At 43.5% G+C, this 26,951-nt stretch overlaps 1 protein-coding gene and 1 long non-coding RNA gene across 2 annotated transcripts, besides 3 other annotated features; both read right to left on the bottom strand.

Moving 5' to 3' along the window:
• Positions 2,466 to 2,565: a silencer, noted in NCBI's record as "silent region_14223". NCBI's record gives its function as "represses an Ori minimal core promoter by ATAC-STARR-seq in GM12878 lymphoblastoid cells {active_cell/tissue: GM12878}" and the evidence as "EXISTENCE:reporter gene assay evidence [ECO:0000049][PMID:35858748]".
• DSTNP4 (DSTN pseudogene 4) lies at positions 8,868 to 10,738 on the bottom strand. Its single transcript, XM_047449432.1, has 2 exons — positions 10,696 to 10,738; positions 8,868 to 9,400 (listed from the first exon to the last, which is right to left on the bottom strand). The coding sequence occupies exons 1-2, from the start codon at positions 10,736 to 10,738 to the stop codon at positions 8,868 to 8,870; spliced, it is 576 nt and encodes a 191-aa protein (XP_047305388.1).
• Positions 11,706 to 12,373: an enhancer, noted in NCBI's record as "OCT4-NANOG-H3K27ac hESC enhancer chr3:39252658-39253325 (GRCh37/hg19 assembly coordinates)". NCBI's record gives its function as "activates a minimal SCP1, AML or CMV promoter by ChIP-STARR-seq in naive H9 embryonic stem cells {active_cell/tissue: H9 hESC(naive)}" and the evidence as "EXISTENCE:reporter gene assay evidence [ECO:0000049][PMID:30033119]".
• Positions 12,374 to 13,042: an enhancer, noted in NCBI's record as "H3K27ac hESC enhancer chr3:39251989-39252657 (GRCh37/hg19 assembly coordinates)". NCBI's record gives its function as "activates a minimal SCP1, AML or CMV promoter by ChIP-STARR-seq in naive H9 embryonic stem cells {active_cell/tissue: H9 hESC(naive)}" and the evidence as "EXISTENCE:reporter gene assay evidence [ECO:0000049][PMID:30033119]".
• Positions 13,007 to 18,730, bottom strand: LOC124909366 (uncharacterized). The gene is made up of 2 exons (XR_007095872.1): positions 18,057 to 18,730; positions 13,007 to 13,458 (listed from the first exon to the last, which is right to left on the bottom strand). It is a non-coding gene; the product is annotated as an uncharacterized LOC124909366 (long non-coding RNA).

Genomic DNA, 26,951 nt, shown 5'->3' with positions numbered 1-26,951 from the left:
ATGGTGTATATGTGTCACATTTTCTTTATCCAGTCTATCATTGATGGGCATTTGGGTTGGTTCCAAGTCTTTGCTATTGTAAATACTGCTGTAATAAACATACATGTGCATGTGTCTTTATAGTAGAATGATTTATAATCCTTTGGGTATATACCCAGTAATAGGATTGCTGGGTCAAATGGTATTTCTGGTTCTAGATCCTTGAGGAATCACCACACTGTCTTCCACAATGGTTGAACTAATTTACACTCCCACCAACAGTGTAAAAGCATTCCTATTTCTCCACAGCCTCAGCAGCATCATCACAGTGAATTTTTAAATATTTTCGTCACCTCAAAAAGAAACACCCTACCCCTTAGCCAGCACTTCACAGTGTTCTCATCAACCCCTTCCCCCTGCTAGGTCTAAGCAACTAGGAGTCTACTTTCTGTTTGTTTCTATATATTTGCCTATTCTTGGCATTTCCTATAAATGGAGTCATACAATATGTGGTCGTTTGTGACTGTCTGCTTTCACTTGGAATAATATTTTCAAGGTTTATCAATGTTGTAGCATGTATTAGTACTTCATTCCTTTTTATGGCCAAATAACATTTCACTATATGAATATACTACATTTATCTATGTATCAGTTAATGGACTTTTGGGCTTTTATGAATGCTGTTATGAGCATTCACGTAAAAATCTTTGAGTGGAAGCATGTTTTCATTTCTCTTGTGTATACACCTAGGAGTGAATTGGTGGATCAAACAGTAACTATGTGTAAATTTTGCTGAACTGTCACTGTTTTCCAAAGTGGCTAAACCATTTTACACTTCTACCAGCAGTACTTGAAGGTTCTTTCTCCACATCCTTGCTAACACTTATCTGATTTTTTTACTGTAGTCCTCATGGTGAGTGTGAAGTATTATCTCACTGTGGTTTTGGTTTACATTTTCCTGATGACTACCGATGTTGAGCATCTTTCTATGTGCTTAGGGGTCCCTTGCATGTCTTAGGAGAAATGGCTATTCAGATCCTTTGCCCATTTTTTAATTGGGTTGTGTGTTCTTTCAATATTGAGTTGTACATGGTCTTTATATCTTCTAGATTTACAAATATTTTCTCCCATTCTATCAGTTGTCTTTTTGCTTTCTTGGTAGTGTCCTTTGAAAGACAAAAGTTTTTAATTTTTATGAACTCCAATTTTTTTTCTTTTGTTGTTTGTGCTTTTGGTGTCATATCTAAGAATCCATTGCCAAATTCAAGGTCATGAGAACTTATACCAATATTTTAAGAGTTTATAATTCTGGCTCTTACATTTTGGTTTTTGATGCACTTTGGTTTAATCTTTATACACAATGTAAGGGTCCAATTTCATCCTTTTGTATGGGGCTGTACAGTTATCCCAACACCATTTGTTGAAAAGACTCATTTTTCCCCATTGAATAGTCTTGACATCCTTGTCAAAGTTCACCTAACCATAGATAAATGGGGTTATTTCTGAACTCTGAATTCTGTTTTATTAATCTATGTGTCTATCCTTAAGTAAGTACTATGTTGTCTTGATTATTGTTTTGCAATTAGGAAGAATTAGTCCTAATTTTTTCTTCTTTTTTATGATTGTTTTTGGCTCTTCTGGGTTCCTTGAGTTTCCATATAATTTTCAGGATCAGCTTGTCAATTTCTATTAAAAAGTCATCTGGGATACTGATAGGAACTGTATTGAATCTATAGATCAGTTTGGGGAATATTGCTGTTTTAATGCTTAATATTTATTAAGTATTTGAGACAATATTTATTTTCTTCTGATTATGAACATGGGATGTCTTCCCATTTATTTAGTTTTCTTTAATTTCTTTCAATACTGTTTTGTAGTTTTTAGAGTATAAGTTTTGCACTTCTTTTGTTAACCTTATTCCTAAGTGTTTTATTCTAGTTGATGCTACTATAAATATTGTTTCCTTAATTTCATTTCTGGATTGTTCATTGCAAAGTTATAGAAATTGATTGTTACATACTGTCTGCATATCCTATAACCTTGCTAAACTCATTAATTAATTCTGACAGTTTCTCAGTGGATTTAGTGGATACACATCATCATATAATCTGTGAATAGAGGTAGTTTTACTTCTTCCTTTCCAATCTGAATGCCTTTTATTTCATTTTCATTTTCTTGCCTAATCTGTATGTTAGCTAACAGCTGCCTTGTTGAGCACACACCAAATCAGGGTGAGATGCAGCAGGAATCCAGGTGAGAACAAATTGTGCCTTTGACCAGGGCAGTAGCAGAAAAAGGGTCACAAAATGGTTCAGCTGTTTCTCTTTTGTTCTTCTCTCCTTTATTTCTTTTGACTATCTTGATGGTTTTGTTGTTGTTGTTGTTGTTTTTGTTTTGTTTTGTTTTGTTTTTAACCTCAACCAACAACAAAGCCAACATTTACTTTCTTAAAATCCTCCTGTGGTAAAATTCTTAGTAAGCAGTTCCACATGAAGGAAGCAGACACCAGACTGGAGGCTAAAAAAGCACAAACCCCACACGTCCTGTCTATGTAAGAACAGATCTAACAAGGCAGGTCTGGTTGGAGGGAAGGTCTATTTTTATGAGACGGGGGAAAACAGAAGTGTCCATCACCAGGGCTGAGAAATGCTGCAACTCTCAGCAACCAGCTAAAGATAACCCAGGCCAGGAACTCTCCACCCAGACTGAAGGGGCCTCAGTGCTCTGTGCATGCAGGATAATTCAAGCTTCTCCAGTGAGCAGCCATCCCAAGCTACTGGATCCTTCAGTTTGGGAACACTAGCTTAACCAGCCTTCCTCAGGAACTTCCTTCTCCCTGAAGGTGGCAACACAGGAAAACTCCCCATCAGTCCCTCTTACCCATACACCGCAAGCCAGTTGTGATCTCTCCCTCCTGGCAAGCAGGATCCTGGAGTTCTAATCTGGGCTGGGCCTAGGGTGAGTCAAGGGAAGCCCCTAGGGCACTTGCATGATCCTGACGGTGAGGGCTTCCTTACATTTTGCTTCTTAGATGTTTCTCTCGCCTCACTGGATGGCCAGCCCTGGTTCTAATCCCAGATCTGCTGTTGACAGGCCATGTACATGAGGACAAGTCTCTTGTTCTCTCTGGCCTTCAGTTTACTCATCCGAGAAACTGAAGTGCTGGAGTTAGATCAGTGTTTCCCAATAACTGATCCATGAACCCAAAATGATCCTTAATATTCAGATACACAGAACCTTTACCAAATGTCCTCACTTCTGAAAATCTAAAAACTTTTCTATAAGAACCTAATGTATGACTATAGAATGTGGCAGATGTAGTCAGGGTCCTCCACAGGACTCATTCCTCCCTAGAGAAACTGCACCATCTTCTCTACAGCTCTGTCAGGGCTGTCCCAGCCACTATTGTAACATTGCTAACTGCCCTGACAAAAAGTGATTAGACTAGAGGTAGAACCCAAGCCCAAGATGAACCAATCTATAGACTGGACAGAGACATGCAGATTATTGCTCTCACAGTTTGGGCACTGCAGACTCCGTAGCCAATAATGGTGGGCAGGTCAGCAGTCAGGTCAGACTCAAGGCTGATGGGCACAGAGACCCACGTGCAGGCAAAGAAGCTGATTAAAAGAAGGAGGATGCAGAGAGATGCAGTGATGAGTAAGTCTTATGGTCTATGAAAGTTGAGAAATTACTTTGCTCTTGAGAGAGGGAGGGTGTCCCCAGCTCCTGACTTTCCCATCCTACGCCAATATGAGGCAGGAAGGCCCAGAAGCAATAAGCAACCAAGTACCTAGATTATAGTCTCCAAATATCATTCTCAACTCTAGCACTTCTTGTAGAAATAAGTAATTCTGAGGCCAAGGCAGGGAAATTACAAGATGAACCTGAAACATTTTCTTGTGCCAGAAAGTAAAGAATTACTCAAAGAATGATGGGGGCATGTCTATAGCTCATAGGTACAAATTTCAATGGTTATCCTCTAGCCAAATCTGGAATAATTTGATATTAAAATAAATACTGATGGTAATGGATTAAATCTGCTGAATAAAATAGGAATCCATGAGTCTATGTCAATAAAAATAAGTAGAGGATTGAGTATGAGTAATTTTTTTAAAAAGTAAAAAAGTAAGTGGAGGAAAAGGGAAATGTCTTCCTTATAGTAGCATAGCAGCTAATATATATCGTAGGAATGATGATAATGGATAAACCACCATTTACAACCGCCATAATGGTGGTTAATTCAGGCAAAAGTAATCAATAACTACTAAGTCAAGTTAGTGGAGATTTAATGGGATACAAGATATTGGCATAGTTTGAGAATATCTTCCCACAAAATGTTCATCAATTACAAATAGAAAATTGATGAGTTAATGTGGAGAAACCTGACACAAAATGACCAGGTGCTAAAGATGAACATCACCAGTGTAGGGACAAGCCCACGTTGTATGCCCCCTCGTGTGATGCAGTGAGAAGAGGACAGCCTCCCTTCCGTATAGCACTCCCAGAACACATGTGTGAACCCAGTCCTGAGGAAACACTGCTGGAACCAGGCTGAGCTTTGGCACTCCAAGAACACATGTGTGAACCCAGTCCTGACAAAATATGGGTAGAACCAGGCTGAGCTTCGGCACTCCCAGAACACAAATGTGAATCCAGTCCTGAGGAAACATTGGTGGAACCAGGCTGAGCTTCGTCCTAGAGACTGAAAGGTCTGCACTCTTTCAAACTAATGAGATCATGAAAAACAGGGAGAGACCAAGGAATTATTCCAGATTGAAAGAGACTAAAGAGACTTGTGTATGAAGTACAAAGTGTGATCCTGGCCTAGACAGGAAAGAGACACTGTTAGGACAGCTGGCAAAATATGAATATATTCTTTGGATTAGATGTTAGTGTTAGAGCTGATTTCTTATTTCCTGACTGGAAGAGTTGTATGCTGGTTATGTAGAAGAGTGTCCTTGGTTTGGAAAGATGCATGCTGAAGATTTTGGGAATTTGGTGCATCATGTTGCAAATGTATTTTTTAATAAATTTATTTATATGTATTTTATATATTTTTATCTTACATAATATATAACTATATCATATGCATATTACTTATGAATATATCATTAGTATCACCAGACAGAGCATCTATAATTTTGTCTTTCAGGTCTACCGTTGATTTTTTTCATTTTAACAAATATTTCTAATTTCCTAGAATTCTTTCTTGCAAGTTTTTCCATAGCAATCTATTTTTGTTTTCCAAACAGAAGATATTCTTGATACTCCATTCAATTTTGGACATTGCCAGTTGAACATTCCACAGTACTGCAATATCAGCCTGCTCAAAGCTGAATTCTCCATCTTTTCCTACAAGCCTGTGGATCCTATAGTCTTGTGGGCCACTGAAAGCAATAGCTTTCTTTCTAAGTTGGGTAGGAAGCCATTGAAGGGTTTTGAACAGAGAAGTGACATAATAAAATTTGCATTTTAAAAGAATCACCCTAGCTGTATTGAAAATAGACTGTAAGGAGGCAACGGAAGAAGAGAAGATTCCAGTTGGAAGTAGGATAATCAATAATCCTGGTTTGCCCAGGGCTGAGGGATTTCCTGAGACTGGACTTTCAGTGCAAAAACTGGGAAAGTACCAGGCAAACTGTGACAAGCTGGCTACTCTGGTTAGGAGACTATTTCAGAAGGTTCTGGTGTGAAACGATGATAGCTTGGACCAGCTAAATGGAGATGATTATGAGATGTCAGATTCTGGATATATAATGGGTAAGTTTTATATAATACATAATGCATGGGATGTGTCAAGTGAGGAAAAGAGAAGATTCCTGTGTTCTCAGATTGAGTACTAGGAGACCTGAATTAGCATTTACTGAGGGATGAGGGGGACTGTGGAAGAAGCTATTTTGGAGGTAAGGGGTAGGTCAAGAGCTCAATTTGGGACTTTCTAAGCATAAGATGCCTATGATCCAAAAGGGGATGTTACAAGGCAGTGAAATACATGAGCCTTGAGATCAGAGGAAAGAAGTTAGGATTATAGATATTATATATACATGGACTTTAAAAAGAAATTCATGAAGTGTAGATAAAGAAGAGAATAGATCAAGAACTGAGTCCTGGAGATCCCAATATTAGGAGGGTGGACAGTGGAGGGAGAACCACCAATAGAGAGTGAGAAGGAGCTGCCAGTGAGATCAGAGGCAAACCAGGAGAGTGCAGGGGTCCTGGAAGCCAAGTAAAGATGGTGCTTCAAGGTAGGTGGCATGATTCCCTGCATCCAGTGGAATCTGGGGCCTGCAAATTGACCTTTGGGTCTAGTTATAAGGAGGTCATTGTTGAACTTGACAAGATTTGTTTGGGTAGAGTGGTGGGGGCAAAATCTTGATTAAAGGAGAATGGGGGTGGGCACTGTGGCTCAAGACTAATCTCAGCACTTTGGGAGGCCAAGGTGGGCAGATCACTTGAGGTCAGGAGTTCAAGACCAGTCTGGCCAACATGGTGAAACTCTGTCTCTACTAAAAATACAAAAATTAACTGAGCATGGTGACGTGTGCCTGTAGTCCCAGCTACTTGGAAGGCTGAGGCAGGAGAATCGCTTGAACCCAGGGGGCAGAGATTGCAGTGAGCCAAGTTTGCGCCACTGCACTGCAGCCTGGGTGACAGAGTGAGACTCCGTCTCAAAAAGAGAGACAGAGAGAGAGACAATGGGAGACGAAAGGCAGTAGCTGGAGGGGAAGGTGGAAATGCTTTTTGTGGTTTTTTAAGATGTGAAAAATAACAGCATGTTTGCAGATGGGAATAATACAGTAGAGAGGGGAGAAATGATGATTCAGGAGAGAAGGCAGAGAATGGTGAAGCCATGTTCTTAAGAAGCGGAGAGAGGTTAGGATCTAGGGCTTCAGGGAAAGAGCCAGCCTGAGCTAAGAGTAGAGACAATTACTGCACACAAATAGGAAGGAAGACAAGGCATGTGGGTACTGGGTCAGGAGACTGAGTGGATCTGGCAATGGGAGCTCATGAAAATTCTCTTCTGGCACTTCTAATTCTCAAGAAAGTAAGGAGCAAGGTAATCAGCTGAGGTGGCATGGGGAGACTGCACTGGAGGTCTGAAAGAGGTAAGCTATAAAGGCATCGCCTAGGGGAGCAGATGGAATGGGGAAAGAAGGACAGCTGCTGAGCAGCACTCTGAGCTACTTGAGGTTTCAGTGGTCATGGATTTAGAGAGAGAGACCAGTCAGCACTTTACAACTTTCAGTTCCCTTAATGCTATCTGTTTTTTTTTTTTTTCCTGTTTGTTCATCTTAGTCCTTCTCAATTTTACTGTTGGTTTTGCAGAAATGTCTGGTGGTCCATGGTGGCCCATTTATATTTGAAGAAAAAGGGCTGGGTTAATTCACATAGGTGACTGAAGACACTCAAAGCTCCCCTCCCCAATTACTAAATAGGCTGAATGGAAAAAAGACCTACAACCAGACACGTCATGGTCAAGTTTCAGAACACCAAAAATGAAGAGGCAATCTTAAAGTCTTCAGGCACACACACAAAAATGATAACAGCAGTAAAAGCTGTCACACACACACACAAAAAGGTGTCAGAATGCCATCAGCAATCCTGGGGGCTGGAAAATAAAAAGCAAGCCTTTAAAGTTCTAGAATTCTAGACCTAGCTCAATCACCAATACAGCAAAATGGTAGAATAAACATACCTTTCATCGTATTTAGGATGTGTTCCAACAAAATAAGGAAATCAAAGAAAGACAAGGGCAGGAAAGAGTGAATCCATCTCAGAAGAGCAATGAAGGGAAAGCCCAGGATGAAGGTTTACCTTTCATTACTCTTAATTGCACGCCTTTTCTCAGGTTCAAATGTCTTTACCTTGTGCATTTATCACTTCCACAACTGTTTCTTTTGAAACAGAGTCTTGCTCTGTCACCCAGTCTGGATTGCAGTGGCGCAATCTCTGCTCACGCAACCTCCCTCCCGCATTCAAGTGATTCTCATCCCTCAGCCACCTGAGTAGCTGGGATTACAGGCACGCACCACCATGCCCAACCAATTTTTGTATTTTTAGTAGAGGCGGGGTTTCACCATGTTGGCCAGGCTGGTCTCGAACTCCTGACCTCAAGTGATCCACCCACCTCAGCCTCCCAAAGTGTTGGGATTACAGGCGTGAGCCACTGTGCCCAGCCTAACAACTATTTTTGTTTAAATAACTCTTTACCTCTCAGATCATCAAAATTCTGGACACTGTAACTTCTCCCCCCATATGACTCGAAGTGTTGGAAAAATATGTATGTTTAATTCCTTACTAATTTTTCACATCAAACCTCTTTCTTTTTCATATTATCAGAAATATTTAGATTTAACTATTTATAACTGGGTTTCATTGTTATCAATAGTTACATAAATGCCTCTTCACAGAAAATGCTTCTTTATTATAGAAGCTCTCTTCGTTTTATTTTTAATTTATTTTACTTGAATTTAGTTTTCTTTTGGCTGAATCCTTTCAGCCATATCACCCTTTTCAGAAAAAGTTCCTGGGCAATATACTTTCCAAAATGTCTTTCTGTGACTTGTACACATTGATAATACACGAATGGGCATAATTTCTAGGGTTACACATTTTCTCCCCAAACTCTAAGACAATGCTCATGTGGCTTCTATTATTTAATTAAAAGAGGGTATGTATCCTTGGCTGTTTAGTGGAATCCTGTTTAGCAAATGCACACACCAGGAACTAAACATGACTCCCAGTACTGAATTCCATGAGCTACACATTCTATCTGAGCACTACTCTTGTTTTCTCTTTTTTAAAAACATATGTTTGCTTTATTTATATAGCAAGCGGATAACATTAAACATGGAAGCTTTCCATTTGTGGCACTGAATGATGGCCTACACAGAGCATCCTTCAAAAGCTGCAATTAAGTACCCATCTAACTTTTCAGCAATACAAGCCCAGTTGAGATCTTCTGGTCCATTTGCTTGAAATTTCTTTTTGATTGCATCCTTACAGCTTGTGAAGATCATTTTACTTTTCAGAGGTGGTAGTTCTGGTGCCCACAAAAACAAACAAACAAACAATACTCTTCCGGATTTCTTCGTTTCAAAGCTTGCATCATATAAAGCATAGCAGCAATCTTTTTCAGGAAGCATTCCCACAAAGTGCTTGAAAGGACCAGTTATGGTTACACCAATATCTCCAGCTGAGATCTCTTTGCCCTCTTCTACAATGATGCACTTTTTGTCTGCACTGAGACAAAAAATGACAGTCTTCTTTCTTTTCTTGATTTCTTCTGATGTGGAGCATTTATGAACTTTTATGTCACAAAAAATGTGACATACTTCATCAGCAACTTGCACTCCTGAGTCCGTCTTTGCCGCCACGGTCACAGGGACACAGGGGAGGCCGCTGGTGGGCACCGAGTCTGCGGAGTGTCCTCTTCACAGCTGCGTACCAAGAGACTGCACTGCTCTTAACTATAAACGTCTGAACACTGAATATTAAACACTAAAGCCTAAACCCTGCCCGCACCCCGACTCTAATCCTAGACCAAACAAAACACTAAAACTCACCTTAGTCTCCAGCCCCTTGCCCTAACCTCAGTGTTAACCTAAACCTTAATCCTGATGCTACAATTTTAAAGCATGAGCATTTGGTCTATGTGTAAAGCGTTTTAACTATGGCAGTGAGTAAAGAAGGCATCTCCTTCCACTCCCCTTTGCTTACTCTGCCCCAGGCCACAGATTCCTGGCCAGTCCCCTCATTTCCTTCTGGTCTTTACTCACACATCCCCTTCCCCAAAGAGTTTAAGCCAACTGTGCAGTTAGAGAGAACAGTCCCCACAAGAGACCACCCTCACTTCTGACACCAACTGCAATTTAGGGGGAAAACCACCCAAAACCACCCTCAGGTTACATAACTTGCTAGCAGGGCTCACGGAAAGCTGTTGTATTCATAGTTATGTTGTATTACAGGGAAGCCATACAGATTAAAATCTGCCAAGGGGAGGGATAAAATCAGCCAAGGCAGAGTCTAGGAGGGTCTCTCTAAATATGAAGCTTCCGTTTGTTCTCTGTGAAGTCATGGGCACCACTTATCACCAGCAGGCCTAAAACCCACTTTACCTATTTGTGTATTGTCTCTCTGTCCCATAGGAATGTTAGCTTCATGACGGCAGGGAATTTGGTCAGCTTTACTCACTGCTGTGTGACTTCTAGAACTGCACCATCCAATATTGTAGCTACTAGCCATGTGTGGGTACTGAGCACTTGAAAAATGGCTGTCCCACCTCAAAATACACCATAAGTGTAAAATACACATGGGATTTTAAGGGCTTAGTATTAAAAGAAAAATGTAAAATAACTCACTGCTAATTTGTTATACTGGTTATGGGTTAAAATGATATTTGGTAGATATTGGGTTATATAAAATATATCATTAAAATGTATTTCTCTTTTTTATAAACTTAAATTGTGATCTGCAATGTGTGTGTGTGTGTGTGTGTGTGTGTCTGTGTCTGTGTGTATCAGACAGCACTGATCTAAAAGAAATGTCGGTAAACTTTTTCTGTAAAGGATCAAATAGTAAATATCTTAGGCTTTAGGGCTGTATGGCCTCTACTCAACTCTGTTGTTGTAGCACAAAGCAGCCATGGAAAAGACTTAAACAAATAGGAGTCACTGTGTTCCAATAAAACTTTATTTACAAAAACAGTCCCACAATTTAGCTTATGGTCCACAGTTCTAGCCCCAATATAGAACATTGGTCCATAGTTAATATTCAATAAATATTTGTTGAGCAAATGGCAAGAGAGAAGGCTAATATAGCTGCAGCACATAAGCCAGAAGGAGAAGATACTTCTGAAGGTAATCAGTAGCCAGAGTATGTAGGGTCTGTTACCCATGGATTTCATTTTAAGCCATTGGAGGAATTTAAGGAGGATAGTGGTAAAATCTAATGTAACTTCTATCAAAGTTCACTGTGATAGATGCTACAGTTTGGCACTCAGACATGCTCCCCTCCCACCCCTTTCAGAACTCATCCTGAATGTTGGTGGCCAAAAGCTCTCAGGTGAGTCCCTCTCCAAGGGTTGCTCATGGCTGAAGAGCGCTGCCTTGTTCAATGTAGCACTCCTGGACAGGCGTGGTGGCTCACGCCTGCAATCTCAGCACTTTGGGAGGCCAAGGTGGGCAGATCACCTGAAGTAATGAGTTGGAGACCAGCCTGGCCAACATGGAGAAACCCCGTCTCTACTAAAAATACAAAAAATTAGCCAGGCATGGTGGTGCACGCCTGTAATCCCAGCTACTCAGGAGGCTGAGGCAGGAGAATCGCTTGAACTCGGGAGGTGGAGGTTGCAGTGAGCAGAGATTGCGCCACTGCACTCCAGCCTGGGTGACAGAGCAAGACTCCATCTCAAGAAAAAAATAAAAACAAAAACAAACGAACAGAAAAAAAGTAGCACTCCTTACTTGGAATTAGCCTACATTCAATGACTCACGAATGTAGGGCATAAAGGCCTGGCCTTCTTGCGCCCTGTGCAGACAGTTCCAAAGCACTGCCCCAGCTCCAGAGCTCCCTCTGGGATTGCCAGCAGTGATCTTGGTTGTGGCTGCATGGCATTTCCACAGTCTGCCTCACTCCCCACGGGAATCCATCTGCTTCCATCCCTCTCCCACAGGTGTTGATCTCATGAGCACTCCCCAAAAACCTGCCTGCATGCAAATCTGCATCTCTGAGTCAGAATCCAGAGAACCTGACCTGCAACAGCTGATACCAGCAGTGGTCCAAGAAAGCAAACTTTACAGTGGGATTTTGGAGCTGTTTACTTGCCAGCTGGCTAGCAAGGAGAGCCCTACTGCTGATTATAGGTGAAGTACAAATAGCCCCAACAAACTGAGGCAGTGCAATTGTCAAATCTGTCATGCATGGTGAACTAGGATGGTATATGGAGGCAAGGGATGCCCTGGTGGGTGGAATGTACCAGGCCTGTGTGAACTATTGAGTAGTCATTATAAAGACAATGGAATTGGATGGCCATTGCTGGGAGCTACTGAAGCACTGGAGAAAGTGTCAGGTGTGAAAGCCAGAGGGCCTCCTAGACAGCATATCAAGAGACTCAAATACTGAGAGACTCAAATACTGCCTCCAGGGAGCAGAAAAGGCTGGGTGGTCAGGGTAAACAAGGAGACCCATATGCAGGCCATTGCAACAGCCCAGGCAAGGAATGGAACTGGCTTGGCCCCGAATGCTAACAGCAGCACTGGGGAAAAATGGTCGGATTCTGGCTACATTTTGAAGATGAAGCCAACGTAATTTACTATGGCATTTGTATAGGTTTCCCATTGCTATTGTAACACATTATGCAGTTACTGGTTTAAAACAATATAAATTTATTCCCTTACCATTTTGGAGGTAGGAAATCTGAAAATAGTTTTATGGGGCTAAAATCGAGTAGCAAGACTGGTTCCTTCCCGAGGCTCTGAGGGGAGAATTCCCCCGCCTTTTCTAGCTTCTAGAGGCCACCTGCATTCCTTGGCATGTGCCCACTTTCTCCATTTTCAAAGCACCTCTCTCCAACCCTGCTTTGATCCTCACATCTCCTTTTTCTGACTATGATGCTTCTGCTTCCCTGTAGTTACAACTGGTCTGCCTGGATAATCCATCCCTATCTCAAAATCCATAATTTAACCAAATCTGCAAGGTCCCTTTTGCTGTGTAAGATAACAAACATTCACAGCTTCCAGGGTTTGGATGTAGACAGCTTTGGGGAGACATTATGTAGCCTATACAGGGTTGGAGATGGGGGTGCAAGAAAGGGAAGGGTCAAGAATGACCTGAATGCTTCGGGGCCTGAGCAGTTGAGGAATGCGTGGCCACAAACCTAAATGGGGGAGAGACACAGGGCTCAGAGATTCAGTCCATTCTTCTTTGGAAGCCAAGTCCTGCCACTTCCCCCCAAAGGCTTCCCTGTGTTAAATGATAATTTTCAGTGAAAGGTAAAATCATGACTCTCATATAGATGTAAAAATTAGCACATGTTGAAGAATTTACTTCACTTATATGATCTGAGAAAAGCAAGCAGGTGTTATAACCAGTTTAAAGGAAAACTCAAAAACAGATTTATATGGAGTAAAGGAATGTTAAGATAAATTGCAAATGGGGACAAAACTGAGTTTTCCACAGTGAGGAAGAAGTCAGTTAAAATCACAACCAGACAGTACAGCATTTACATACCAGTTACAACTTACAGAGAGTTTCAAAATAGCTCAGACAATGTACAGGCCTAGAATCTTATAATGCAGGAAGGTGTGCTACAGACAGTGCATTGTTTTCTACTGAAATACAAAGATTTTTTTCCTACACTTGATTTTTCTGACAGAAGAACTCAACGTATAAGTCCTCGCAAGGGCAGATTGAGTTTCTGGCAGGCGAGGAACAGGAAGAAGGGTTTGATGTCTCCAGGCAAGATCTAACAAAAGACTGGCAGAAACAAAAACAAAAACAACACATTTTAACATGAACATTTGGTATTGTATTCATTATAATACTTTTTAACTAGTCTTTATTTATAGAGAAGGTGTTATGGACTCATAGTTTGTGACCACCCAAAACTCACATGTTGAAGCCCCAACACCACCCTTCCCCCACCCCCTCCAAGTGATGGTATTAGGAGGTAGAGCCCTTGGGAACTAATTAGGTTTAGATGAGGTCATGAAGGGTGGGGCCCCATGATAGGATTAGTGTCCTCATAAGAAAAGGAAGACAGACCACAGCTCACTCTGCATGCACACAAAGAAGAGGTTCTGTGAGCATACAGTGAGATGGTGGCCACCATTACCAGGAACTGAATCTGTCAGCACCTTGATCTTGCACTTCCCAGCCTCTAGAACTGTGAGAACTAAATGTCTGCTGTTTTAGCCACCCAGTCTATGGTATTTTATTATGACAACCCTAGCAGACTAATACAGAAGCTATTAATCTGTTTTTGGTCCAGTCAACGTATAATCAGCCACCTGCTGACATTTAGCATTCTACTTAAGTGCAATTAAACCAGACTAAATGTAAACCAGCATAACTCATCTACCCTTCTGGCCATTATCACTTTGAAAACAAGAAAGCAAGAAAGCATTCCTTTTGTTCAGCCATTCTACAGCATACACCAGCCCTTCATTGTTTGTGGCTAAATTGGAAATAACAATGATTTATATAAATAAGGTAGGGGACAAAACATAATTTTCCCTCTACCCTTCTTTTTCTTTCTTCCTTTCTTTTTTCTTTTTTTTTTTTTTTTTTTTTGAGACGGAGTTGCTCTGTCGCCCAGGCTGGAGTGAAGTGGGGTGATCTTGGCTCACTGCAACTTCCACCTTCCAGGTTCAAGCAATTCTCCTGTCTCAACCTCCCGAGTAGCTGGGATTACAGGCACCTGTCACCACACCTGGCTAATTTTTGTATTTTTAGTAGAGGCAGAGTTTCGCCATGTTGGTCAGGCTGGTCTCAAACTCCTGACCTCAGGTGGTCCACCCGCCTTAGCCTCCCAAAGTGCTGGGATTACAGGCGTGAGTTACCATGCCTGACCCCCTCTACTCTTCTTAGTTGGCCTAGGACCCTCTGTAACAAAAGACAGATTAACAAGAGAAAAACAAAGAGAAATGTATTAACATGTATATTTTATATATATATGGAAAATACTCAAGAAAAGATTAGTTCTCAAATAAGTGGCTTAGAACTTCAACTACGTAGCATCTTCAACAAGGAACAATACATTTTTAGAGTAGTGTCAAGACAAAAGAAAAAGACCTTGAGTCTCCAGGTGGAGAAAATTGTGGGAAAGCAAATATATGGGAACTTTACGGTAGATAAAGGCTAGTCAGTGAAGTCTGCTGTGTCGACTCCTCTGGTGCCACCTTCAGGCTGATGAGGGCCTAAAGTTGTCGTCGGTCTTTGTTCTTCCTGACAGGGAGAGGAGGAAGAACTCCTTTGTAAAGTTATATCCTGTTTTTAGGCAAATGGGGAGAGCAAAGAGCTTTTCTTGTGTCTGCCTCTTCTCAGTTACCTTCAGTTCACAATAATACTTATGCCAGTGTGGCATATTTTGGGGTGGAGTATTCTGCTACCCTTTAATAGTACATTTGGCAGTGCAGTCTCCTATATGGTCTCTTTTCCTCCATCTTTTCTAATCCAATTAACATGCATGAGAAAGAGAAAGAGACAATAAGCAACCCTCTGCTATTCAGCAACTTTGGCAGGCCAGGAAGATAAAATCCAGTACCAGATAGAAAATCTTTGTCGGTCACCCATACTCTTGTTGGCAAAAGGAAAGTGTGTTGGGAGAAAACACTTTTTCTTTACCTATTTATGTTCAGAGTCTACAGATTAACCAACCACAGACAGATTAACAGGGAAAAAAGATGAAGTTTATTTATTCAAAGGAGTCTTCAGATAAATATGGCTGTCTAAACAGCCAAAAATAGGGGTTTATATATCCACTTAACAAAGAGAAAGGGAGGCGGAGAGAGAACTTCCATGGAAGAACAAATGGAAGGCATGGAGTTTCAGATAACATTTGTTTAAGCAATTACTCATTACGGTGACAATGATTAGTCTCTTCTCTGGCTGTAAACTTCCTCGAGAGGGGATTTATGGCAGCAGTGTTCAGGAGGTCCTGTTTAAGTCAGCAGTTTAGGTACTTTTTGTTTGTTTGTTTCTGCAGCTGCTGTTTGTTCAGATGTTTCTAGCTTAAAATAATCTTTATGCCATTGAAGTGCATTTTGGATCCCTGCAGGTGCAGAATCATTCTTCATGTAACACAACTTTTCAGGGGCTCTTCCTGTCTCAGAGATTTTGGTCAAAGCTCCAGAAGTAAGAAAAATGCATTCAATGCCACACACTCAAATGAAGTGGCAACTTGCAGAAAAATGGTGACTGAGTTGTTTCTCACTTTTTAGTTCACCACCTGCCACCAGGCTATATTTGGGGAAGCTGGCATGGGCCCAGAGGCAGCCTGAGGTGTCTGATGGTCCATGATACCATCTCCAGAAGCCCTGCCCTAGCTCAGGTCATCACTTCTTATGTCTCACTGTGACATCAATACCCCAACTCTTCCTCGAGCTTCTACTCTTTGTGTCTTCCCCCCAACACCCCCACCACCAAGTCGCAAAGCAGCAAAAGAGGTCTCTCTAAAATGCAGTCTGTTTACACTGTTAACCTGTTTAAACCACTCCAAGACTTCCCACTACTCTGGGATAAGATCAAAGTCTTTGCCGAGGCTCACAGTTCTCTGTGTGATGCACCCACCCCACCTGTCCACCTCCATCCCCTACTGAGACTCATAGCACTCTCTCCTTCCCTCCCTTTCCTGTCCCCAGAATGCACAATGTTCTCTCTCACTTCAGGGTCTTAGCACCTGCTGTTTCCACTGCTGGGCTGCTGGGGACATCTTAGCCTCCTCTCCTATCTCATATGTCTGTAACATTTACAGACAGGCGAGAGAATAAATGGATCCCTGGCTTCATCCCTCTTTTCTTCTCTTCCCTGGTTCTGTTCTGCTCCATGAAGTGCATATGTGTGAACATCCCAGACTGCAGATCCAAGGTACATCCATAAACTCCCCTCTTTTTGGCCACCCTCCCAGGCCTAAAGGTGTATGGTTTAGCACAATAGTCTGTCCTCAGTGGATGAACCTAGAAAAGAGAACCACACAGGCCCTGGAAGTGAGATGGAAATTTGAATAGAGAATACTCGGTCCCAGGTACATTGAGATGGAGAGAGATGTCTTAAAAGGATTTGCCCACGGGGGCTGCCTGGAGGGCCAATAGGAGCCCAACTGATTTGTAGAGATGATCTCCTAGGACGAGGGGTTGAATGGGAGTTGTCAGGAGAAGGCTGGAAAGTACATCACTTGTGTCAGTAACTGCAGGGGGTATGGGGCATGGAAATCCCCAAAGAACCTTCAAAACACCCATGATAGAAAGAGCCACCTGCCAACTCCGGGAGCGATGCATTAGGGAAGTCCCAGGCATTCAATCTCTTTCCTGCCCTTTACCTGTCTCCCTGCCCCATCCCTTGAGTTTTGACCTGGAGAGGTCAAAAAAGCTGGAGTACAAGCTGGGCAGGCTGGGGATATGGACAAGGTGGGTACATGGAAGGCTGCCCTGGCTCAGCTTGGAAACTTGGTGAGGAAGGGAAGTGTCGCTGGCTCCCTCACTATTTCTTCCCCTCCTCCTCATTCCTCTTTACCCACTGATGATGCCACTCCTGACTCATCTAGAGTTGGATAAGGAGAGAGTGGAGAGATAGAGTGGCAGAAAAGTGTTGCTGGTGCCCTCTGGGTGGGTCAGATGTCCAAATGCTGGCTCTTTCTCTTGTGGGGTGCTCTGGTGGGTGCACTGGAGACACCATCCCACAGGTGCACCATTCCCTGACAAGAGCGACACAGTCTCCAGCCAACTGCTTACGATGGCTTCCCCGCCTGCACAGGTCCTTGCCCTGCCAGCATCCTCTTGAGTGGGCTCGCAGGAGACCTTGGCAGTTCTCTTCGCTCTTGTCCCCCAGTCAGCTTGAGGGACTCAGGCCAAGCTCTCCCAATGGCTCTCTTGAAGACCCCTATCAAACTTGAGGAGAGGGGAAGAAAAACCCTTTCCTTTAAGAAATCATCTTTCTAGCTTCACTCTTAGTCCCATGCTTCTCTGTGTGTGCATTTAATGGCTATTATCCCATTGGAGAGTCACAATGACTCTGAGGAAAGGGAGGGTATTTGTATATGCAATATACTTGGAGATAAGGTCAAAAAGGCCAGGGGCCTGGAGCCTGGGAACCTTGTCACAGCTTCAAGTTTAGGTTAGCCAGCAAATTAGTTTACTTTGATCGCAATCCATTTTCCCACCCAGGCAGTAAATTCTATAATAGCACAGACGGTCTGTCCTGTTCACCATACATCCCCAGCTCTTAGCAAAGAGTGCCCAGCATAGAGTGGGCACTCATAAATATTAATTAATGAATTATCTCTATCTATTGCAGCATAACAAACCACTCTAAAACTTAAATGGCTTAAAATAATGAAAATCATTTATTTTGCTTACAGTTAGACAATCAGGAACAGCTCATCTCTGCTCAATGTGGTATCAGCTGGGACAACTCATCTTGAGACTGGAATATCTGCTTCCAAGAATATCCACAAATTGATGCTGGCTGTTGGCTGGGAGCTCAGCCAATGCTGTGGCCTGGGGGCCTTGGTTCTCTCCCACATAATCTCTCCACAGGACGCTTGGGCTTCCTCACAGCATGGTGGCTGGGTTCCAATGTCATCAGAGATGGAGGCTGTATTGCCTTCTATGACCCAGCCTCAGAAGTCACAAAGTGTCCTGCCACCGAAGTCATAAGCCAGCCTGGATTCAAGGGGATGGCACAAAGACCTCTTTCTCTCAATTGAAAGAGTATCAAAATCACATTATATGCATAACATATGAGGTGGGAGATATTGCAGTGACCATCTTTGGGAAATTCATCTAATCTGTCCCATGGATAGGCAAACACTCTCACTTCCTGGTGGACCCAGTATTTGAACTCAAGTTCTGCTCAGTACATTTTGTTCTAGGAGGAGGGGATATATGTCACACAGTCTAGAAGGACTTCTCTCTAACCTGGAGAAGATAAAGCCTTGGAGTTTGGAGAGTTAATTGACAGTTACGAAGATAATTCACTTCTTTGTGTTAACTGCCTCTTCAACTAAAATTTAGGCTTCCTAGAAGTTATGTACATATATATAATTTTATACATATTTTATATTAATATATTAGATTTTTTATTAGGTATGTACATATACAATAATCTCCAGTGCTTAGCCCAGAGTCTAACACATAGCAGCTGTACAAAGAGTACAAAGAAATCTTGTAGAATAAAATAAATTAAATAACTGCTTAGTCCCGCTAGATGAAGTGCGGCTTGATGACGTGCTGTCACCTTCTGGGCACTACGGTATTGCTAGCCATTTCAAAGGCATCATGTCTTTGGAACTAACTACGCACCCCTTGCCTCAAGTCACTCTCAGTTTACAAGGCACTCTCCCAGTGGCTGGTTTTTTATGTATCTATGTATTTATTTATTTTGAAACAGGGTCTCGCTCTGTCGCCCAGGGTGCAATGCAGTAGTGCAATCTCAGCTCACTGCAGCCTTGACCTCCTGGGCTCAAGTGATCCTCACGCTTCAGCCTCCCGAGTAGCTGGGACCACAGGTGTGTGCCACCACACCCAGCTAATTTATTTATTTTGTAGAGATGAGGGTCTCGCTTTGTTGCCCAGGCTGGTCTCCAACTCCTGGGCTCAAGTGATCCTCAGCCTCCCAAAGTGCTGGGATTACAGGGGTGAGCCACCTGGCCCGGCCCCCCAACGGCTGATTGATTTTTTTCTTTTTAACAGGAATTCCGACCCCTGTGTTGATTACTATTTGATCAATGAGAGCTCTGAGGACCAGAGGAGCTGCTGAACAGAAGCCTCCCTCCTGGTATCTCTACAGCCTCACCCGGCCCTCCTCAGCCCCGCCACCTGGCTGTGCCTTCTCACTGTCACTGCTCTGCCAAAGTGCTCAGGGGCATCCTTGCTGAACCAGCAGCCCATCCTGCCTGCTTATCTTACCACAACTCTGTGTAGCCCCAGACATTGGTGCTCTCTCCCCCCTCAAATATGCTCTTCCCTTAGCATCCTCCATGACCAACTCTTCTCCAGGTTTTCTCCCTCCCTCTCTGGCTGCTGCTTCTTTGAAGTCCTTCTCCCATATCTGACCCTAAGCCCGCTTCTCTTCACAGACCCCTGCGAGTGCTGCTCCCCTCACAGCCTCAATCCCCATCTGCACACAAACACTTGCCAGCCCAGTCTTCTCTCTTGAGCTCCACATCTGATTGCCTGGTCCCCAGAAAGCCAGCTCTGACTGGGACAGCCCGACATTTAATGCTTATCTTGTCCAAAGTCAGCCTGTGGTCTCCACACACCACCAACCACCCTGCCCCTTCTCCCACTCCCACTGCCCCCACTTATGCATCCCCCACTCACTTATCCAGACAGCCGGGTAGCAGCCCAGAGTTTTCCCTTCCTCACCCCCAGGGTCACTAGATGGTTTTCAGAAGTTGCATCAAACAGTACACCAAGAACTTTAGCATATTTTAGCTCGTTTAGGTTCTGTCGACTCTGACTCCTGGGCAGCCCTCAGACAGTCCCTCCTCTCCCTCATCTGCCACCATCAGATCCTCATCACATGGAACCTGGACTGCTGGGACAGATTCCCTGCCCTATCTTCTCCCCTGTGGACTGACTCTAACCGACTCTATACTCCAACTTGCCCCTGATTAAAATCCTTCAGGATGGGACCCAAACTTCCATGCCTGCCATTCAGTTTTCACAACTTGGCTCCATGCGCTCCAAGACCACGCTCCACCTCTGCCCATCCATCCTGCCTTCAAAGCAAACTGCACACGTCACACCATCCAAGCCTCTGTACCTTTGCCACTCTCTTCCCTTTGCCCAGAGCCTCCTTCCCTCATCTTCTCATGTCCAAAGTGTCTCATCCCCGCTGTACAGACAAAGAAACAAGTTCATTTTATTATTTTTATTTTTTTGAGACAGAGTCTTGCTCTGTTGCCCAGGCTGGAGTGCATTGCTATGATCTCAGCTCACTGCAACCTCCACATCCCTGGCTCAAGCAATTCTCCTGCCTCAGCCTCCCAAGTAGCTGGGATTACAAGCACCCGCCACCATGCCTGGCTAATTTTTGTATTTTTAGTAGAGATGGGGTTTCACCATGTTGGCCAGGCTAGTCTCAAACTCCTGACCTCAGGTAATCTGCCCGCCTCTGCCTCCCAAAGTGTTGGGATTACAGGCGTGAGCCCCTGCACCTGGCCAGGAACAGGTTCAGAGAGCTGACACAATTGCCCAAGGTTGTAGAGCTGGGAAGTAGTGGAGCTGGGGTCCCAAAGGAAAACTATCTGAAACAGGCTCTTTTCACTGCTCTGCAGGGTCCAGACTTTATTCCAAGTCTCAGCTTCCCCATGTGTAAAAGGGGGAAATAAAAAAACAAAGGAGTCCTCCTGCTCCAACTTTGCCTGATCAGGATTTCTTGACTCTGAGATGCTCTGAAGTTCCCTGGTGACCTGGGGGCACTGAGCAGAGCTGCCTCAGGTCCCTAGCCAGCCACTGAGTGGAGAGTGCTCAGGCCAGACCCCCCTCAGGGACTGCCTGCGTGACCTGTGAGTGCTTTCCACTAAGAACACTATGACCAGTAGGCGGCATGGCCTCCTGCCTGCCCTCAAGTTCGCCAGTTTCCAGTCTGTGTTCCTTATCTATTGCTGTGTAGCAAAATACCACAAAATTATCAGTTTAAGAGGATGTTTCCACTCACAGTTCTGAAGCTCAGAGGTCCTACACACATGGCTGGGTTCTCTGCTCAAGGTTTCCAAGGCTGAACCTTGGCTGTGTTCTCATCTGGGAACTGAAGAGAAATCTTCCAGGCTCATTCATGTTGGGGAAAGGATTCAATTTCCCGAGTTTCCAGGATTGAGGTTCCTGTTTTCTTGAGGCTGTTAGCCTCTCCTGGCTCCTTGCAGTCACCCACAGTCCTTCTCCTGTGATCCCTCCAAGTTCAAGTCAGCAATGGTGCGGCAAATTCCCCTCATGCTTCAAATCTCTCTTCGCATTTCTCTTCTGTCACCAGCTTGGGAAAACTTTTGAGGGGCCATCTTTAGAAGTCTGACCAGACCCTCATTCATCAGGCGTTTGCTATCTGCTCCACACCTAACCTGTACTCAGCAGTGCTGGGGGGCAGAAATGAACAAAATTTGACCACATGGCCTCTGGGACTCCTGTCTCAATGCCCCTCTTTTCATCTGTGCTTAACCAGATTTTCCTCCTACCTGTCCATACTTAGGCCATACCTCCTACCTAAATGCTGTTCCCCACCATATTCATTGGCCAAAGCTGCCATATCAAAATACCACAGACTGGATGGCTTTTAAACAGACATTTCTGTTCTCACAGTTCTGCAGGCTGAAAGTCCAAGATCAAGGTGTCAGCAGGGTTGGTTTCCGGTGAGGTCTCTCTCCCTGGCCTGCAGACAGCCGCCTTCTCACTGTGTTCCCACATTGCCCTCCCTTTGTGCATGTACATCCCTGGTGTTTCTTCCTCTTCTTATAAGGACACCGACAGGGCTATGGCCACACTTTTATGAGTTCATTTAACCTTAATTACCTCTTTAAAGGGCCTATCTCCAAATAAAGTCACATTTCAAGGTACTGGGGCTTCCACATATGAATTGGGGAAGGGGAAGAAAATTTAGTCCACAATACCCACCATCTCCACCCATCAAGTATCTCATTTGGTGGGCTCAGTTCACAGGCTCCCTCTTGCATAAAACCATAAAACCACCCTAGATGGAGTTTGTATCTCACTGGGTCCCCCAACACCCAGTTGGTACTTCTGTTCCCACCATGTCAGTTTCCCACTAGACTGGGAGGTTCTAGGGAAGGCTCCAAAGCTGACAAGTTGGTGTGCCTTGGGAATCCTCCAGCAGAGGCCTGCTCCCAGTAAGGCATCAATAAGTGTTGGGGAGGAACAGAGGAGCAGGGGATGCTAACAAGGTCAAGCGACAGGGCCCCCAACCCCAGGAGAACTGACAAAGGCTGCCAACCACACATCTTCCTAGTGAAAAGTGTTCTGGGTCCCCAAGACTGCTGCATGGCTGACGACAGTTCTGCAAGCCCAAGGACTAGGGGGCAGCCATCTCTCAGCTTTCTGCAGCCCCACCCAGGCAGAGTTGGACTAGGTCCTTAGAGAGACTTAGGCCTGTCTCATCCCCCATTACATCCCTTCTCACAAGGTATCCCTGGGTGCTATAGAAGTATACCTGCCACCCTGATCAAGGGTTCAGGAAACCTGAGTTCTAGTCCTTGATGTGCCTCTCGCTTACTGTATCACTTTAACATCTTAACATAACTTCGCTGAGCCTTTGTTTCCTCACCTGTAAAATGGGCCCAAATAACTTTCTCACAGGGCTTCTGTGAGGATTGCATGTGGTCAAGCACATGCAAAAGGACCTCAGAACACTGGAGCTGGATATTAAAGGAGGGAGGGATTTGAACATTGGCAGCTCTGGGAAAGGTGTTCTAAGCCAAGAAAAGTGAACTAAATGTTAACACTTTTACCTTCCCTGTGGCTGTTAACCATAAACAAATCGCTTTCCTTTGCTGGGCCTTAGGTTTTTCAACTGGAAAATAGGAATTTGGATTCAATCTTTCCCTGTCAATGAGATTTTTGACCCGGAGAGGACTTTAAATACCATTGACTGTTATCTTATACATTTCACAGATGGGGAAAATGAAGAGGGGTTGTCAGGGCAGTAGTGGGGCTAGGACTGAGGACTCCTGACTTCCAGGCCAGCGCTTGCCCCAGTACCTTTCGGCCTCTCTCAGTGTGCAGACCCAGCCAGAGCTGATATAAGCTGACTATTTGCCCTAAACACCTCACAGGGATTAACCCTCTACATCTATGCTGTCCAATATAGTCTCCACTCACCACATGTGGCTACTGAGCACTTGAATTATGACAAGGGTAACAAAATGCAAAATGCACAAATGACTTCTTTAGTTTTATTTAATTCACTCAAATTTTAAAACTGATAATTAAGTTACTAGAAAATTTTAAATGTGCTTGAACAACTTGAGAATCTACTTTTCAGCAATGCATTTTATTAAATATAGATAAAGTGGTTTTTCTCGTTGTTGTTGTTGTTTGAGACAGGGTCTCACTGTCACCCAGACTGGAGTACAGTGGTGCCAACTCGGCTCACTACAGCCTTGACCTCCCAGGCTCAGGTGATCCTCCCACCTTAGCTTCCCAAGGAGCTGGGACTGCAAGTGTGTGCCACCACTCCTGGCTAATCTTAGTAGAGACAGAGTTTTGCCACATTGTCCAGGCTGGTCTCAAACTCGTGTGCTCAAGAAATCCACCACCTCTAGGCCTCATGAAGTGCTGGGATTACAAGCGTGCACCACCATGCCTGGCCAGATAAAGTGTTTCTGATGAAAATTTAGTGTCTGAATTAAGATATACTATAAATATAAAATATACACTGGATTTCAAAGATAATTCAAAATATCTTATTAATAATTTTATATTAATTTATGTGCAAATGATACTTTGGAAATCTAGGTCAAATAAAATATTAAAATTCATTTCATCTCTTTTTTTCACTTTTTAAAATGTGGCTACTAGAAAATTTTAAATGACTTATATGGCTCTCTCTCACACTATTTGGCTTATATTATTTAGACAAATTGCATTATTTTTCTACCCAACAGCACTGGCCCAAATCTTCAAAGCAACCCCATGACGTGGGCCTGCTATTATCTCCCTCATCTCACAGATATGGGAACCTAACATAGCATATGCTGCCCGTGTCCCATACTATCTTTGCCCCACTTGGGGTCACCTGTAACTTCCATAGACAGTTCCTATAAGAGCTTCCTACTTCAAATACTTGCATCTTCTCTCTGCCTAAGGAGCAGGCAAGAAGTACAGGGGAAGAGGAGGTAGATAGCACTTCCTGAAACAGCACCCAATCAATGGGAGGTGAGGGTTGGTAGACAAATACCCCATTGTCTTAGTCCATTTTCTGTTGCTTATAGCAGAATAACTGAAACTGGGTCATTTATGAAGAAAAGAAATTTACTTCCTATAGTTATGGAAGCCAAGCAGTCAAAGGTTGAGGAATGGCATTTGGTAAGGACCTTCTTGCTGGTGAGGACTCTCTGCAGAATCCCAAGGCAGCTCAGGGCATCATATGGCCAGGGGGCTGAGAGTGCTTGCTGTGGTGTCTCTTGCTCTTCTAATAAAGCCATCAGTCCCACTCCCATGACAACCCATTAATCCATTAATCTACTAATATAATCTATTAATCCATGAATGGCAGAACCCTTATGACCCAATCACCTCTTAAAGGCTGCCGAGTTTCAATACTGCCACATTAGGGCTTAAATTTCAACTTGAGTTTTAGAGGGGACAAATATTCAAACCATAGCACTCACTTTCCTCACCCCAAGTGAGGCATGCACTACCCCCATCTGTCAGAGGGTCTCAAGTGAGATTAAACTCAGTTTCATGATGAAGTGGAATCTATCCCTAGGATACAAGAATAGTTCGACACACAAAAATCAATTAATATTATACACCACTTTAACATAATAAGGGATAAAATCACATGATCATCTCAGTTGACTTAGAAAAAGCATCTGATGGCCGAGCCTGGTGGCTCACCCCTGCAATCCCAGCACTTTGGGAGCGGGAGGCTGGTGGATCACTTCAGGCCAGGAGTTTGAGACCAACCTGGCCAACATGGTGAAACCCCATCTCTACTGAAAAAAATAGAAAAATTAGCCAGGTGTGGTGGAGTGCACCTGTAATCCCAGCTACTTGGGAGGCTGAGGCAGGAGAATCACTTGAACCGGGGAGGTGGAGGCTCGGAGGCTGCAGTGAGCCAAGATCATGCCACTGCACTCCAGCCTGGGTGACAGAGTGAGACTCGATAAAAAAAGAAAGAAAGAAAAAAGAAAGAAAGAAAGAAAGAAAGAAAGAAAGAAAGAAAGAAAGAAAGAAAGAAAGAAAGAAAGAGAGAGAGAGAGAGACAGAAAGAAAGAAAGAAAGAAAGAAAGAAAGAAAGAAAGAAAGAAAGAAAGAAAGAAAGAAAGAAAGAAAAAAGAAAAGGCATTTGATACCTTCTATTCCTAGTTTATTGACAGGTTAAGCAGTCAATAAGCTAGGAATAGAAGGAAGGCACATCCTAACTAGGAATAGAAGGAAGGAACATCAACATACTAATAGCTGTATATGAAAAGCTCACAGCTAACTTCATACTCAGCAGTGAAAAACTGAAAACTTTTCCTCTAAATTTAGTAACAAGGCAGGTACGCTCCCTCTCACCACTTCTATATTGAGTAGACATAGTACCGAAGTCCTAGCCAGAACAATTAGGCAAGAAAAAGAATAAAAGTTAATCAAATCAGAAAAGTAAAACTGTCCCTGTTTGCAGATTCTTATATATAGAAAACTCTTAAAGGCTCCATTTAAAAAACTGTTAGAACTAATGATGAAAACTCAGTAAAGTCGTGGGATACAAAATCAACAGATGAAAATCAGTTGTGTTTCTATACTCTAACAATGAACTACCTGAAAAGGAAATTAGGAGATTAAGCCCCACTTGTTTACAGAGGTAACCCACTTTCATCCCTTCCCTTACTCACTTCTCTACCCTCACTACATTCCTGGGATCCTCTCCCGGTTAAATCACTTGCACTCAAATGCTCGTCTCAGATTCCGCTCTTGGAATAACCTAAATACAGACATTAAGGTACAGAGAGCTGAAAGACTCTCAGAGGTCAAATAAATAGTAAGAGACAGACTGGCAATTTGATCTGAGGCCATCTGACACCAGCTCCCACTCTCTCAAACACCATGCTCTGTTCCCTCTCACACGGTAGCCATGATATTCCCATGGCAGGAGGGTGGAGACTCTCCCCTCAAATCTGCTGACCCCAGAGCAGAAAATCCCTTCTCTGGCTTCAGATGATTCTTCTCTGGTATCAAGAGGCTGAGCAGACCCTTCACCTGCAGGCTTGGAACAGAGCCAGCCTGGCTGCCCAAGCTGTCCTCCTGGCACCAGTGCCTGCTTCCCAGCCAGCAGGAAGCCAGGACTGCCAGCCAGTGCCAGGGTAGCCAGGAGTTGCACAGCTATTAAGTGTCACAGGTAGGATTCAGCCTCAAGCAGTCTGGCTCCTATCATTCTCGAATCCTGTCTCTCCTGAAACTTGAAGTGAGTCAACTGCCAGCTACTTACTCGGCTCCTTCATGATTTATGCGTGAATTTCTGCCCAAACCCAACTTTGATGGAGCCCTACTTGGAGGGAGGGGCTGGTAGGAGATGATGCCCTGGACCCTAAA

The sequence above is a fragment of the Homo sapiens genome, chromosome 3 (assembly GCF_000001405.40).
Source record: "Homo sapiens chromosome 3, GRCh38.p14 Primary Assembly".
Taxonomy (NCBI): Eukaryota; Metazoa; Chordata; class Mammalia; order Primates; family Hominidae; genus Homo; species Homo sapiens.
Note: the sequence above shows the minus strand (reverse complement) of the source record. Positions and strands in the feature narration are given on the sequence as shown.